The sequence below is a fragment of the Homo sapiens genome, chromosome 20 (genome assembly GCF_000001405.40).
Source record: "Homo sapiens chromosome 20, GRCh38.p14 Primary Assembly".
Classification (NCBI taxonomy): Eukaryota; Metazoa; Chordata; class Mammalia; order Primates; family Hominidae; genus Homo; species Homo sapiens.
The window spans coordinates 1282441-1298057 of record NC_000020.11 but is presented as its reverse complement, the minus strand read 5'-3'; the positions used below and the strand labels follow the sequence as shown (position 1 = coordinate 1298057).

Here is a 15617-nt window from a genome sequence, read left to right as displayed (position 1 = left end):
TCCTGGTCTTCAAGGACCTACAGCTCCCCTACACCTGCTTCTCCAACATGATCCTGCTTTGTGAGTCCGAGTTCACCTCACTCAAGACTACAACTTGGCATCTGCTGCATTCGTAACATTTCGCCTTCCAAGCCAGTTCCACCTCTGCCACTCTCAAAGTGTTCCCCTGAGAAGTGCATGATGGTAGACACTGCAGGCTGCTTCCCAATACTCATCTTGCTTTCTTCCTAGCGGAACCCCCATTTTGTCTGGGGTGGTACTGTTGTGGGGAAGACACTAACTGGCCCTGCAGCTAGAGTTATTCACATGACCCAGTTCTGGCCAGCAAGAACTGGCAGGATTTGGGGGCAAGCTGTCCCTCTCAGAAAAACAATCTCTGAGAAGGGCTTTGGTCCTTTCCACCTGTTCCTTCCTGGAGGGCAGGCCTGATGCCTGGAGGTACAGAAGCCACCTGTGATGACAAAGACAAAAGCTGTACACCAAGGATGGTGGAGCAGCGGGAGAAGACACAGGGTCCCTGACACTTCAGGGAGCTGCTGACCCCTGGCTCCTTGTTCTGCAAGTATCACCCCTAGTTTGTTTAGGCCACTGTATTTTTTTATGTCCAGCTGTATATTATCATATCCATCTTACAGACAGGAACTGAGGCTCAGAAAGGAGAAATGATCTGCTCAAGGTCACACGGCCAGCGGCTATGCTGGCGTCAGGGGTGGTTAGAACACGACCCTGCTCCCTTACCTCTCCCACCCCAGGACAACCTGTTCCCAGCCAGCAGGGCCAGGCCCAGAGAGGAGGGGCCAATTACCTTGGCGTGGGACTGCTGTCACTGCCCTTGTAGGAGCCAGAATTGCTGCTGCTGCTGAGCGAAGAGGTGCCGTAGGCATCCCGCACGCTCACAGGTGGAGAGGTGCGCCTGGAGGCAGGAAGAAGAGGCAGGTGCTCGTTCTGGCTGGCGGGCAGCTGCGGACACTGGGCGAACACTGCCAGGCCGCTGCGGCCCAAAGTGCCCCCGCTTTGGGGTCACCACAGGGGAGAGAAGCAGGGAGAGAGAGACGCACAGACAGGGGTGACAGAACAGACAGTGCAAATCAAGATGGAAAACCAGAAGAAGGCTGGTCCTCCTGGCTCCCCAGGGACAAGAATGGGGGCCGGCAGGGCTGCAGGGCAAGGGTGGGGCCTCATATGCTCTTATCAAGGTCCTCAACTTCTGGGGTTCCCCAAACCCAGGAGAGGAGATCCCTGCATAGACTGAGACAGAGGTGGAGAAGAATGGGGCAGACAGGGGTGGGGACAGGAGGAGGAGCCTCGGGGGTAAAAACCAAGGGACACCAAGTGAGTCTGAGTGGATGACTGCACGATTCCCCTCCAGTCGTTGTGAAAATCAAACAATATTGATGAGGCTACTGCTGGTAGGAATCCAGTGGTTTACACCTTCCGAGAACTCTCACATCCACTGTGTCATTTGAGCCATTAAATAGTTCCAGGAGGAGGCAGGTGTTAGCAAGCTCATTTTAAAGATGGGAATGGGAAATGATTTGCTCAAACACATACTGCAAGTTGGTGGCAGGTAGAGAGAGGCCCGTGCGCCCTCCTCCCGCCCTCCGAAGCCTAGGCTGTGAGCGAGGGGGAGACTCACCTGCGTGATCCAGCAGAGGTCCGTCTACTTCCTGGCAGGGACATGGCCATGAGGCTGTGGGTCCGAGTAAGGGGTGGGATGGGCGGTATCCCGGGGGCTGAGGAGAGAGGGCGGGTTGGGGGGCCCGCAGAAAGGGCCGGGCCAGGCCACGTCATCCTCTCGCTGGGGCCGCTGCCCGGCATGGCTTCTCTTCTCACCCTTCGGCAGGACACCCCAGGAGCGAGGGCCTGGCAGACCACGGCTGCCTCCACCAGTGAATTGAATAGGGCTGGTGCACAGGTTCCCACCACCCAACTTAAAACCACAACTGTCAGGAGTGGCTAAAAGTAATCAGTCCAACCCTGTGTTCTCCAGATGAGTGAATGTGCCCCAGACAGAGTGAAGGCCGTGCCCAAGGTCACAGAGGCTTCAGGAGCAGGGCCTCCTGACTGCCGGCACCGAGTCTTCTACTCTACGAGCCAGGCCTGCTTCTTCCCCAGGACCCTGATACTCAGACCCACACACCCCCTTGCTGTTCAGTCCTCCCTCTCTGGTAGGGGCTGCAGGCTGTAGGACTCCTGGAGCAGGACCAGGAACCCCAAATTAGGATGGGCTGGTCTCGCCGACCATCAACTTCCCAGTTGGCCCGTGGTTCGGGGCTTCCCGTCTACAGGGGAGACAAGACAGACCAACGTACCAGCACATGTGTAGAAAGACATACGGATACACACCAACACGAGAAGGTACCATGTCCCTGCCATTCCAAGACATGCCACACGCGTCTCCATGAACGTGCTCAGGCAGCCAGCCCATGACGCAGGACATGCAGCCAGGTCCTCCCGCACCCATGCGGCACACAGGCATGTCCGCACCCACCCATGTAATGCGCATGCTGGTTTTGGCATCTACCAGGAATGTAGGGGCACAGACTTAAAGCAGATGAGCACTGGGGTGGGTGGGAGCAGAGGCCCTCCGCTGGGGGTGTCCCAGTGGGTGGACCCAGGAGGAAGCGTTCGTGCCTAGAGAGACCCATCACTGGGCCTCTTGCTAAGTGGGCAGGTAGACTCAAGCCCCTGGTTCCTGCCCCCGAGTCCTTAGGCTTCTTTCCTGGGTAGAGGCTTGGGTTCCAAGGGCAGCCTTTCCAGGATTTAAGGAGGGGAGAGGCCCCATGCTGGGCTGGATTTTGGCTGTCGTGAGGAGGGCTATACTGGGTATTAGCCCAAAGTTACCGGAGTCTGGGGCAGAGTGGGGAACCTGGGCTCTTTGCAGCCAATGTGCTGGTCCTGTGCCAGCTCCAGAGACCTCAGTCCCCTCCTTCCACATTAACAGCAGGGACTGAGGACAGCAGCCTGGGTTACAGGAGACTTGGCTGAGGATGTCATGCCTGGACCTCTCCCCATGCTGGAGGGAAGCATTCACCGAGCCCCACGCCACACCAGACCTCGTGCCAACCACGCTACGTACATTATGCCATTGACTCCTCTCAACAACCCTATGAGGAAGTGCTGTGATTAGTCCCCTTTTACAGATGAGGAATCGAGCCACCGAGAGGGAAGGGACTTGGCCAAGTCACATCCCAGGTGTGTGGCAGAGCCAATATCGAAACCAGGTCAACATCAGATGCTGAGGGGCTGGATCTCAAACCCCAGAGTCTCTGGCCCGGGGACCACCCCCTTCCCATGTCAGGGCCTCCCCGGAGCCTGGTCATCCCAGCCAGCGGCGGGGCTGCCTCCTGAGTGGACAAAGGCACTACTCAGATGGCCTGTTTCCTGGCGGGGACATAGAACACAGCCTGTTCCCCTGGAGGGTCTGGACACAGCCAGCATTGTCTGCCTGGAGGTGTCGGGTGCTGGGCTGCAGGACCTGCCGACACCACACCTGTCACCTGAGCTTCTTGCCCCAGCTTGGCAATGCTTCCCACTCATTATGCCCCAGTCACCCAGGCAGGGCCTCCTGGAACTGTAGGGCTGGCCCCTAGAGCAGGAACCATGGAGGAGGGGCGATTTGGGGGTAAGAGGACATCAGTGCTCCTCCATGCTTGTGAGGATGGCCATAAATGGCTCACTGCCTCCTGGGCACAGGAGGATCTTGACCAGGAACAGCTTAGGGTGCAGAGGGGCACATGGGCAAGGGCTCCAAGGATCACCTGCCATTGCCTGAATCCTTCAGTGGTAAGGTGGCCATGCTGAGTGCTCTCGTCTGCCTTGGCCCATTACTTGAAGCAGCAATCCTTCAAGGCCGGCTTTGTTACTGCATTTGGGCCCAAGGTCACACAGCTGCAGGTGTGACATGCTCTGGCTTCTGGCCCAGGTCGGCCTGGCTTCACCAACAACTTTCCCACCATCATCCCTGCCCTTCTGGCTTTTGGGAGGATGCAAAAAGGAGGCTGAGCCTTCAGGAGGACTTTCCAGCAGAGGCAGGACTCAGATCTGAGGATGGGCTCTTCCAAGCCAGTGTGAGTGAGTGTTCTAAGGAGCCAGGAAAGTCCAGGCAGAGTGCTAGGCCCAGTCCTGGGAGGCAGGCAAAATGCCTGGTTTGTCTTGGAGCTGCGTGTGGCCTTGCTACAATGAGGGCCTTGTCCCAGCTGTCCCTGCCACTATCTTGCTTGGCTACCCCACACCTGCCTCCTCTTGAGTTCCCTCTTCCTTCCTCCCTGGCCTGGGGGAGGGAAGGGGGTGGCACTTGTACCTGCGTATAGCTAACAGTCTCCTGGGCACCCAGAGCCAGGTATTCATTAGGGACAAAGGTGGAAGACGCATTTCCCCTGCTGGGATGGGACCTTGCAGGCAGGGTCCCTCATGGGAGGGCAGAAGCCACCCAGGCCCAAAGGGAGCCACCTCTCAGGATCCTACTCAGAAAACTCAGTGTGCATCCTGTGCTCTCTCAGGTCCTCCCTCCCTTCTAGGCCCTAGCAAGGAGGCAGGTTGCCATGGTGTTTGTCACCATGCCACCTGCTTAGCCTGGAGTCCCGCAGGCCTCTCCCCAGGTGGCCAGAGGCTGCCACTTGGAAAGGAAGGTAGAAAGAAAACCCTTAACTGTGGGAAGCTGGGCTGATAGTCTCTCATCACTTTAACCCCAGAGTAAACCCAGCCCCTGCCCTCACTGAACTTCCCTCCACTTCCCCATCTTGTCCACACCATAGCAACCCTGCTGCATCCACTCCTTTGACTGCTCCCTCAAATGCTCAACACTTCCTAACCCCCCCGACAATGGGGGTCCAGGGAGCATGAGACTAATGACTGCAGAAGTCAATATGAACTGATCTGGGCTCAAATGCCAGCTCTGGCACCCTTCAGCTGCATGCCTTGGGCAAGTCACCCACTTCTCTGAGCCTCACTGCCCATATCTGTAATAACTGGGGCTCTAATGAATGCACCTCATATGGTTACTGTGAGAATAACATAAAATAATGTGAGTATGGGGCTTAGGTCAGTGCCTATCACACAATAAACACTAAAACATGGGGGCAGCCAGTATTTTGGAAGTAACATGAAGTGAGCTTCAAAACAGAAACACATTCAAGCCATAATAGTGTCTTCAGGAGGATCCAGGAACGCTTCTCTACACAAGAAATTTGCACTGGGTCTTGAGGGATGAATAAGAGTTCACCAGGTGGCAGCAGAAAATGGGAGGGAAGGAGAAGTCTGGACACAGGCAGTGAGTGACAGCTGGCTGCTCAGAAACTAGGGAGCCTGTTGAGGGCAGAAGTACAGTGGGAGTGAGGCTGCAGAAGGAGGGGGGCAGGCCACACAGAGCCACTTAAGCCAGGATCTTGTCCTGTGGGCAACAGGAAGCCATGCAAGTGCTTTATAGGAAAGGGGCACAATCATATTTGCATTTTAGAAAGTTCCTGATAAGGAGCCTGTGTGGAGAGGGAGGGATACCAGATACCAGTTAGGAGGTTACCAACCAGGGGAGAAATTAGGAGGGCCTGGGCCAGGGTCATGGCAGGAACAATGGAGAAAAGGGCCTGGACCCTGTTCAAAATTCCTTGGAAGTCCCAGATTAGGTAAAAATCAGAGCAAAGCTCTTGATGTGGGTGCTTAAGGCCCTCTCATCTACAACCTTTCCAACTGGCTCTCTGATACATCCAGGAGACCTCGGCTAGTCACTCCCAAATCTGCATCTCTACATGGGCTGTTTGTCCCATCTGCAGCATCTTCCCTGCCTGTCCTCAGGCATACATTGCACTCTTTCTTTAGGTCCCACCCACAGCCTTTCCACCAGTGACTTCTCCTATCACTTACTGTCTTGACCACTTAGGATGCTATGCCTTAGACTAAAACTCAGGGAACACCATCCCCTGGGAAACTTCATAAAAACAAACACAATCAACACACAACTGTTGGTAATACAATGGTTTAAACAAGCACATTGAATAGACCAAAGAGTCAGATTAGATGGTCTCTAAGGTGCTCTGGATCTAACATTCTCTAATTCTAGAGCTGTCAATGAAATTATGGGCTTCTAATTGATGCTTCTTTCTCCTTCATTACTAGGACTTTCGGGTCTCAGTTTCCACATATGTAAAATTAGGAAGCTCCATTCTTCAAAGAGACATGATAGCATTTTCCCCAATCAACAGTCATGGGGGAAAAACCAGGTGCTTGGGTTAATCTAATATTCCAGCTAAGCAAAAGTCCCTGTATGTACTATAATTTATCTTCTTTCAAAGAATTAGCCATTGATACAAGAAGAAAGCTATCCTAAAATCCGAGGGAACAGAACAATCTGTGTCTGATGACTCAAACCACTGACAGCTGTGGAAAGCAGAGCATTGCAATCAACAGAGCAGAACTTGGGAGGGATCCTCTCTTTGCCAAGGTAACACTAGAACGCAGAACATTCCACCCATCAGACAGCAGAGTGCCTGGTGCTCCTAGAATGCTAATGCAGAGAGGTGGGAATAGAAGACAGGCCTGGGAGTGTTCCAGCAGCCACACTCTAGATCTCAGAAGATTAGCACTACCAGGGCTATTCACAGCTGAGGAGTTCAGTAAACCCTGCACTGGCTATGGCCTCATCAGCCACTATGTGCCTCTGCTCCTCCTTTGTCAACAAAACCTAGGATCTTCCTTCCAGGACTTGCTGGCATTTCTCCAGCTTGCTTCCTGTTTCCCACACAAGCCACCCTCAAAGCTGGGACCACACATGAGGCGCCATCCGACTTCTTCTCACTGTTGTGGCAACCCCAACACAGCGGCAAGGCAGACCCACAACTTGGCCAAATGCTGTGAGAAGCTTCCCCAGGCAACCAGCATAGGTTGAGGGCTGAGGCAGCTGCTACACAGGATGTGTCTCCAGTGATTAGACTCAGATTCCAGAGCTGAAGGGCATCAAGCCTAGGTCTTCAAACCACCCAAGAGGACTTGCCTCTGCACCTACTGGGAGGGGTGGCTTGGGCCTCCTCCCCCATTTCACCTGAAGAGGCTCCTCTCGTATGTGTTTTACATATGGAAGGTGTGAAGTAAGACTACTTTTTAAAAAGGATTTTTCAGGTTAAAAATCTATGGAATACTTATTTTCCACAATGAGATATTGTTTCACATTCACTAGGATGGCTAGCATAAAAAAGATGGACAATAACAAGCGTTGTCAAGGATGTGGAGAAGTTGGAACTCTCATGTATTGCTGGTGGGGATGTAAAATGACGCTGCTGCTATGGAAAACAGTTTGGTGGTTCCTCGAAAAGTTAAACATAGAATTGCCATAAGAACCAGCAATTCCACTGCTAGGTATATACCCCAAAGAATGGAAAATAGATGCTCAAACAAAAACTTGTATAAGAAGTGTACTTCACAGTAGCACTATTCTTAATAGCTAAGAGGTGGAAATAACCCAAATGTCCACCAATAGAAGAATGGATAAACAAAATGTGATGCGTCTATGCAATGGAATATTTAGCTATAAAAGGAATGAAGTATTACTGATCCATGCTACAACACAGATGAACCTTGACAACATTATGCTAAATGAAAGAAGCCAGATACGAAAGGCCGCATATTGCATGATTCCATTTATATGAAATATCCAGCACAGGCAAATGCACACAGACAGAAAACACACTGGAAGGGAAGAAGGAACAGGGAATGACTGGTAATGGGAATGGAGTTTCTTTTTTGGGAAGATAAAAAACGTTTTAGAAGTAGCTAGTGGTGATGGTTATATAATTTTGTGAGTATCCTAAAATCCCTGAATTGTACATTTTAAAAACTTAATTTTTTTTTTTTTGAGACAGAGTCTCACTGTGTCGCCCAGGCTAGAGTGCAGTGGCACGATCTCAGCTCACTGCAACCTCCGCCTCCCGGGTTCAAGTGATTCTCATGACTCACCCTATCGAGTAGCTGGGATTACAGGCACGCACAACCACACCTGGCTAATTTTTGTATATTTTAGTAGAGATGGGGTTTCTCCATATTGGCCAGGTTGGTCTTGAACCCCTGGCCTCAAGCAATCCACCCACCTTGGCCTCCCTGCTCCCAAAGTGCTGGGATTACAGGTGTGAGCCACTGCATCTGGCTATTAAAAGGATAAATTTTATGGAATGTAAATTATATCTCAATAAAAAACAAATTTTTAAAAATACATGTGATATATATTTAATTTTTTTTTAGAGCCAGGGTCTTACTCTGTCACCTAGGCTTGGAGTGCAGTGACAAAATCATAGCTCACTGCAGCCTCAAACTCCTGAGCTCATGCGATCCTTCTGCCTCAGCCTTTCCAGTAGCCACCTCACCTGGCTAATCTATTTTTTACTTTTTTTAAAGGTGGGGTCTCACTATGTTGCTCTTGGTGGTCTCAATCTCCTGGCCTCAAGCCATCCACCAGCGTCACCTCCTGAGTTGCTGGGATTACAGGTGTGAGCCACCATGCCCCTGACTCCATTGTGTGTGTGTGTGTGTGTGTGTGTGTGTGTGTGTGTGTGTGTGTATTTAAATGAACCGTTGCATTAATAAAAAGACAGGCATGGTCCAGAAAGGGGTAGAGACTCTTCCAGAATGGCTCAGCAAGTTGCAGCAGAAGGGGAGCAAGAGCCAGTGCCCCCCCTCTACCTGACTTCAGGTAGCTGGGCCCAGGATGCTTCCCTAGACTTTGGGTCAGCCTGGAGGAGACTGGTAGCTGAGGCTGCCCCTAAAGCTCTTGCATATTCACAACTTCGTTGAATCCTCACACAAATTCCCCATAGAGGGAGGCCAGGTAGAGACTAGTCCATCTGATCTATGGGAAACCTGAAGCCTCAGAGGTTACAAGAGTCACCAAGGGCTGGACCCTGGATTTCCAGGTCATGGGCACCTGCATTTCTACTGCATCATGAAGGTCTCATAATACAGTAGACCTGGGACACTTATCATTCTGCTGCATAAAAGAAAAAACCTACTTTTCCATGAGACTCTAAGATACCACAATGGAGATGAGCAGGTATATACCTGCATTTTGGGCTGGTCATACTTCCATAAAAGCAGGGCATCACAGACATAAGAGGTAAGCATACTACAGAGAGTCGTTTAAAAAGAAATTCTTGGCCAGACACGGTGGCTCACACCTGTAATCCCAGCACTTTGGGAGGCCGAGGTGGGCGGATCACCTGAGGTCAGGATTTCAAGACCAGCCTGGCCAACATGGCAAAAACCTGTCTCTATTAAAAATAGAAAAATTAGCTGGACGAGGTGGTGGGTGCCTGTAATCTCAGTTACTCGGGATGCTGAGACAGGAGAATATCTTGAGCCTGGGAGGCAGAGGTTGTAGTCAGCCGAGATCACGACATTGCACTCCAGCCTGGGCGACAGAGTGGAGACTCCATCTCAAAAAAAAAAAGAAAAAAAGAAAAAGAAATTCCTCATGTGCCTTCTCCCTAACTAGTGACTTTCCCTGTTCCTCTAAGAATCAGCCTCGCAGGCAAAGGAGAAGCCCTTTCCATGAGGAGCACTGCTCTTTCCTCTTCCAACAACTGCTGCGTCCCACCCAGCAGCCCAGCTGCTGTGCAAGCCCACCACTGAGAGACCCTCAGCTCCTCTGAGCCATATCACATCGTCCATCTTGGTGACCTTGGGTCTTTGACCTCTGTTCGTCTCAGCTGTCTCATGCATTCACTCAGGAAGGCGCCACCTTCCTGGCCCTGCTGTCTCTTTGGGATCCAACCAAGGTAATGAATGGAGGGATGGGGGTAGTTCTTGGGAAATTAGAGGACTGAACATTTCTTGCTATCACTATTACCTGTCGAAGGAGATCTCTCTTTTTCCCTTCTTCAGAAATAATTCTTGCTTTATCACCTCAGCGGACATCAGCAGGCCCAGGCATGAGTGACTCTGAAATGACTGGCAAACTCTGCTAGGCCAAGTGACCTGGGCTGGCTTTCCAGGGCAATGTCTGGCAGGCCTCCCGTCTGGGTAGGGAGTAGTAGGGGGAACACTGGTTCCCATGCTTCCACCATCCCAGCTGCTCCACGGCTGCCCCTCTGCAGACACCCATGGAGAAATGTGAGGAACGGAGGGGCAGTGGTGCCAGCCCCAGCTTGGTGGCTGCCTGGCTAGTGGCTCCTGGCAGATGGAGGCCCTTCAGCAACCTTGGCCACAGCATATGCTTCCCTGGGCTTCCTGACTGATAGAGCTGTCAAGCCTCAGTCCGGCTTCTCTCCCTTCCCCCTTCTCCCAAGCTTCCAACTCTAAAGCATCACAGGATGAGGAAAATGGTGAGACTTCCATCCCTAAAAATTCTCATTTTTTCCAGATTTCTGCCTTGATTCTTTGGATCCTGGATGTAAGATTAGGTAAATGCCTAATCCCCTGGCATTTACCCCAGGTACCAACAGGGACTAACACACTCTCAGAATCAGAATGGAAAGGATCTGGAGTAGACCTCATCACAACCTATCATTCTATAGAGAAAGAAACTGAAACCCAGAAAAAGCATGTTAGTTGCCTGAGGTTACCCAGAAAGTCAGGGACAGAGCCTGGGCTTGGGGCTAGACTCCTGAATCTATCAGTGAAGCTTCTGTACCACAACCCTTGCCCTCACCAGGGCAAAAATTAAGAAAAAAAAAAGAACAAAGGGAACCTTTTCAAGTAAAGAAATCTTGGAAGGAAGGCCTACGGGTATGACAGGAGAAGTCCTGACCATTTTAAGGCAGCTCATAAATGACATGCAATAAAATATGCATTGAAACAGAGGCCCAGGGAAGAAGGGAATATCCATGCTGACCACAAATACATGGTGGCAATAATGACATTGAGATTCAATTCCAAGCTTCCTGGCCACTGATGCCAAAAGGGAAAGTATGCTCAGTCTTATTGTTCTCATGGTTATGGGAGGGCAGGAAGAAAATTGGTTCTTTGGGAGAAATAAAGATCTCCCTAAAAGGAATGTTAAAAGGAACACTTTTGCATGGGGTTGGCTGCAGGGCAAGATGATGGTCCACTGGGAGTCGGCAAAGTGGGTCCCAAGGAAAGATGGTGCCCTCAGAGCTCCCCAAAGTTGCCCTGTGTGTGCTGTGCTTTGCTCATGTCAGACTGAAGAACACATGGAACACACAGACCAAAGGACTAAAGGGATGTGGAGATGTCATCTGCTCTGCCTGCGACGACAGCCCCTTTCCACAGACAAAGCCCCCACCCAGCCTGAGATCAGAGAGCTTCCTCGTTCCTGGTAATACAAAACAAGAAACCACATAAAACCACTCACGCTGTCTCTTGCACTTGCATTCTCTCCCTGTCACTTGTGCACACACACTCTCTCTTGCTCTCCTGGCATTTCATGACAATCGAGTCCCAACTGCCACATTTTCTAGATAGAAAAGTGAAGACTTGCCAAAGGCCACAATGGAGCCATAGAAGCAGGGCCAGCTCATTCTAATCCCACCAACAGTTCCAGGCATGCCGCTCCTGTTGGAAGCCAAGGTTCATCTATCTTCCTGCAGCTCCCAGGGGCTCAGCAGGGAGACATGGAGCCCAGCGCACCCAACTGTGCCTGTTTTAGCCCAGGAGCCTATCTCACAGCAGCTCCTTCATCTCTCCTCCCAGCTCCCTTCTCCCTCTCCAGCTGCAGCTGCCCTGCTGTCCTCAGCAGCTGATCCCTGTCCACCTGATTCCCCGTGGTACTTCCCATGCCATGCTGAATTCTTTCACCTTCAATAAGATCCAGGGCCTCAACAATGCCCAGTGTGGCTCACACTTGCTGGAAGAGGGTGGGTGATTAATAAATGCCTCTCCTAATAAGTTTTCCTTCTCTGGAGAAGCTGCCCTACCTCTTAATTTAGCCAAAGTGAAGCATTCTAAAATGTTTTAAAAGGGAGATTCTACAAACTACTATGTCCTATTTTAAAGGCCCTTTATCTTTTTTTTTTTTTTTTTTTTTTTTAAGATGGAGTCTCGCTCTGTCGCTCAGGCTAGAGTGCAGTGGCGCAATCTCGGCTCACTGCAACCTCCGCCTCCAGGGTTCAAGCAATTCTCCTGCCTCAGCCAGTAGCTGGGACTACAGGTGCCTGCCACCACCCCTGGCTAATTTTTGTATTTTTAGTAGAGACGGGGTTTCACCATATTGGCCAGGATGGTCTCAAACTCCTGACCTTGTGATCCACCTGCCTTGGCCTCCCAAAGTGCTGGGATTACAGGCATGAGCCACTGCACCCGGCCACCCTTTATCTATCTCAGAACGAGTTTTCCCCTTTTGCTGACAGGCAGACTAACCCGACAGAAAGAAACCACGGCTTGAACATCAAATGTAACTGAATTTTAGATCCAATATGACTGGATTTGGAACTCTGAATTCCAAACTCCACCACCCACCATCTTTATGACAGTGGGAATGCCACTTTACTCCTCTAAGCCTCATTCTCCTTATCTCTCAAATGGGGCTAATTACAGTTGTGCATGAGTATAATCACAATGAGCAATAACACGTGTGAAATGCCTAGCAAGGACCTGGCATAGGGACAGCACTCCGTAAATAGCAGTAATTATTTATTCGCCTGAATATATTCTTATTCTCAATGTTATTCATGTATATTACATCTTTCTCCCTGTCCAAAATCTTAATCTGAAATACTATACTCGTTTGTATCTGAGAGGTTCCTGACTACAGATTCATTTTATGCTTTCTTAAGTCTACTTGCAAAAAAAGAAAAGGAAAGAAAAACCCTAAACCGGTCATTGTCTACCAAACAACAGGATTTCAGGACACCGCCACTTTGGTCTAACAGAGTATCTCAAAATTAACACATCCAAAATATGAATTTCTGATTTTGCCTTAAAAATCTGTTTTTCTGCAGCTTCCCTCATTTCAGTTAATGGCAATCCCATCATTCCAGTCGGGTAGGCCAACACTCTCACGTCTATCAGAAAAGCCTGTCAGCTTTTATTCCCTGCACAGTGTATGCATTTTACAGATAAGGAAACTGAGGCGACACAGTCACAGAATCTGACACCTTTCGGCATCTTCACTGCTCCATCCCTGGTCCAAGCCACCATCTCTCTCCTGGATGATGCAGGTCTCATTATCTCCTACAAACTCTGCCCAGCAGCCAAAGGGATCCTTTTAGAACACAAATTGGATCAGGTCATTCCTCTACTCAAAACCCCTCCAACGGTCCTTCCTTTCAATAGAGGCTAAAGCCTTTTCTTCGGCTGATGTAAAGTTCTGTGCATCCCTCCCCTGACCCCCGCTTATCTCTTTGACCTCATCACCTCTCCCCCTCATTCACTCTGCTCTAGCCACCCTGCCTTCTTGCACATCCCCTCATCAGGGCCTCTGCACATGCTGTTCCTTCTGCCTGGAATGCTCTTCTCCCAGATCTCTGCCCCGTGTATTCTCTCTCCTGCTTCAGGTCTTTGCTCCAAGGTCACCCTCTCAGTGAATCTTCTCTGACCACTGTGTTTAAAATACAACCCCTCCTCCTACAGCACTCCTCTTTCTTCCCATGCTTCGTTTTTCTCCACCGTCCTTAGCAACAGCTAACATATTTATGTATGTATTTATTTTATGTCTTTAGAATATAAGCTCCAGAGAGGTAAGGATGGATGCCCATTTTATGCTTTATTTAGTCCCTTATGCCTAGACTAGTGTCAGGCCACCACAGGCCCTCAATAAATCTTTGCTGAATGAATAAGGGGGTGTGCACTGATCTGGGTTGATGTCACCACCCAAGTAAGTGTAGGCCTCTTAGCAAGTCAACAAAAGGGGGGGAAGAAAGCTTTGTGGTACTTTGTTTATATTATTATAGTCCTTTCTACACACAGTGTTCTATTTAGTGAGCTTGTCTCTCCTGCTAGGTTATGAGCTGGAAGAGTTTTATTCATCTTTGAAAAAATAGCACCAGAGGGTCCCCTCTAAGGGCTGTAATGACTATATGCAAGAGCTCAGCTGGGAGCTGTGTGCCCTCAGGCCCATCAGTATCAGGACCAATTTCCTTGTGTGTACATGAGGTTAATCACTGCCATGACAACGAAGGGAGGTTGTGCTGCTGAGCATATACAGCAAGCCCTTGGTACACGGTGCATGTCACAGCTGGGATAGGATTTCTAGAAGGTAGCTGGACAGAGCCTTTGAAGGCTAAGTATTGGGCAAAGGCGAGCCTGGGGGTCCAGAAAAGCAAACTTAGGGCCTTCTCCTCCTTCTCAGCAGATTGACCTTCTTGCTATCACAGCCCCGGGTCCTATTCTGCCCAGCACTGGCCCTAGCAAGTGTTTGTAGACCAGGAGTCCAGGTATCAGAAGGTGCCTACCTTCGGGGTAGGAAGGTGCTCAGAGACAGGTGACTACGGAGATTCCAAACTGGCAGCCCACGGCCGTATCATGCTTAAAGACCTGCATGTATATGTATTCCAATTCAGTCGATATTTATAAACTAAGAGATTTCATATTTTTTTAAAATCCATGTTTTCTGGCTTGTCTCAAACAAATTAAAAGATCTTTCAGCTCTGTGCCTGCATTCCTGCATGGCAGTGATTGTCTGAGACTGAGAAGTTGCTCCTTTCTGTCAGAGTTCTTAACAGAGCTCTTGCTCTTATAACTGGTCTGTGTTGTTTGTTAGTGGCACGGCATTGGAGCTTGGAGTCTCTTTTCTGGTCGAGTCTCATTTTATAGGTAGAAGATCTGAGGTCAGCGTGGGGGTGGGTGGCACTTGCCCAAGGCCCCCAGTAAATCAGGAGTGGGGCCAGGACTGCAACCCCAGGCTTACGGCTCTGAATCCAGGGCACTGGGATGTACAAGGAGGCTGAGAATGCAGCCTTGCAATGTTCTTTTGGTTGGTTCCCAGCTGTCAGGTAAGAAGAATGGGCTACTTGGGCTGAGGGGGAAATCCTTTTCAGGAAAAGGCTGGTGGGGCCAGGGAGGTAAAGCAGAGAGCACCATCTCTGGCTGCATGCAGCTAAAGCCTCTCTTCTTCCCACTTGCTGGCAAACACTGATCTCCCCGACCTTGTAAAATAAACTCAGGGGAAAGGCTCAGCCTACACTGGCTCTGTGGACATAGCACTCTCAGGTGTCCCTCTCACTCCCCTTTCCCGAGAGCAGGCATCCTAGGGGCCCCTGATAGGATGTAAAGAGCAGGGGCTTTGTCCTAGGGCAGAATCAAGCTGGAAACCTAGTTCTTAGCATAGGGCTGACCACGAGCTTTAACTTCATCTGTAAAATGGGGTTTCAGTTGTGAAGACTGAACTGAGTGGTGCATGCAAAGAGCCTGGCACACACACTGCTGGATGAACAGTAATTTCTTTCCCGTATGTTATAAACCAAGGCCCAGAGACAAATGAATAACTTATACCAGAAAGGTACTGAACTAAAATGGGCTCCCTTAGCTCCAACTGGGTAATTTTTAAGTTTTAAATATAGTTGTAAAAGTAGTACATACCCATTTAAAAGCCTTCCAGTTCCAGTTTTGCTACTCAAACCACTGATTAATTTGATTGCTGCCCCTTCTCAGGCCTTTTTCTAAGCACAGATATTTTTAGGGGGCAAGGGGTTGTTATGTTTACACAGTTATAGCCGTGGCAAAAATATAACTTGTATATT

General features: G+C 50.0%; 1 protein-coding gene across 13 annotated transcripts in view, besides 1 other annotated feature; it reads right to left on the bottom strand.

Annotated features, from left to right (window-relative positions):
- SNPH (syntaphilin) overlaps window positions 1-15617 on the bottom strand; it is a 43034-nt gene that overhangs the window by 11270 nt on the left and 16147 nt on the right. For 2 of the 13 annotated variants that reach the window (NM_001439261.1, NM_001439260.1), the window contains exons 3-4: window positions 1637-1733; window positions 806-1012 (exon numbers count right to left, since the gene is read on the bottom strand). In NM_001439261.1, the coding sequence (NP_001426190.1) occupies window positions 806-1012; window positions 1637-1686 (257 nt within the window). In that variant the 5' untranslated portion in view covers window positions 1687-1733. Of the gene's footprint in view, window positions 1-805; window positions 1013-1636; window positions 3108-15617 lie in introns of all 13 variants that reach the window. The other 11 variants (NM_001439264.1, NM_014723.4, XM_047440612.1 and 8 more) reach the window with 10 other exon arrangements.
- Window positions 2156-3047: an enhancer, noted in NCBI's record as "H3K4me1 hESC enhancer chr20:1275655-1276546 (GRCh37/hg19 assembly coordinates)". NCBI's record gives its function as "activates a minimal SCP1, AML or CMV promoter by ChIP-STARR-seq in naive H9 embryonic stem cells {active_cell/tissue: H9 hESC(naive)}" and the evidence as "EXISTENCE:reporter gene assay evidence [ECO:0000049][PMID:30033119]".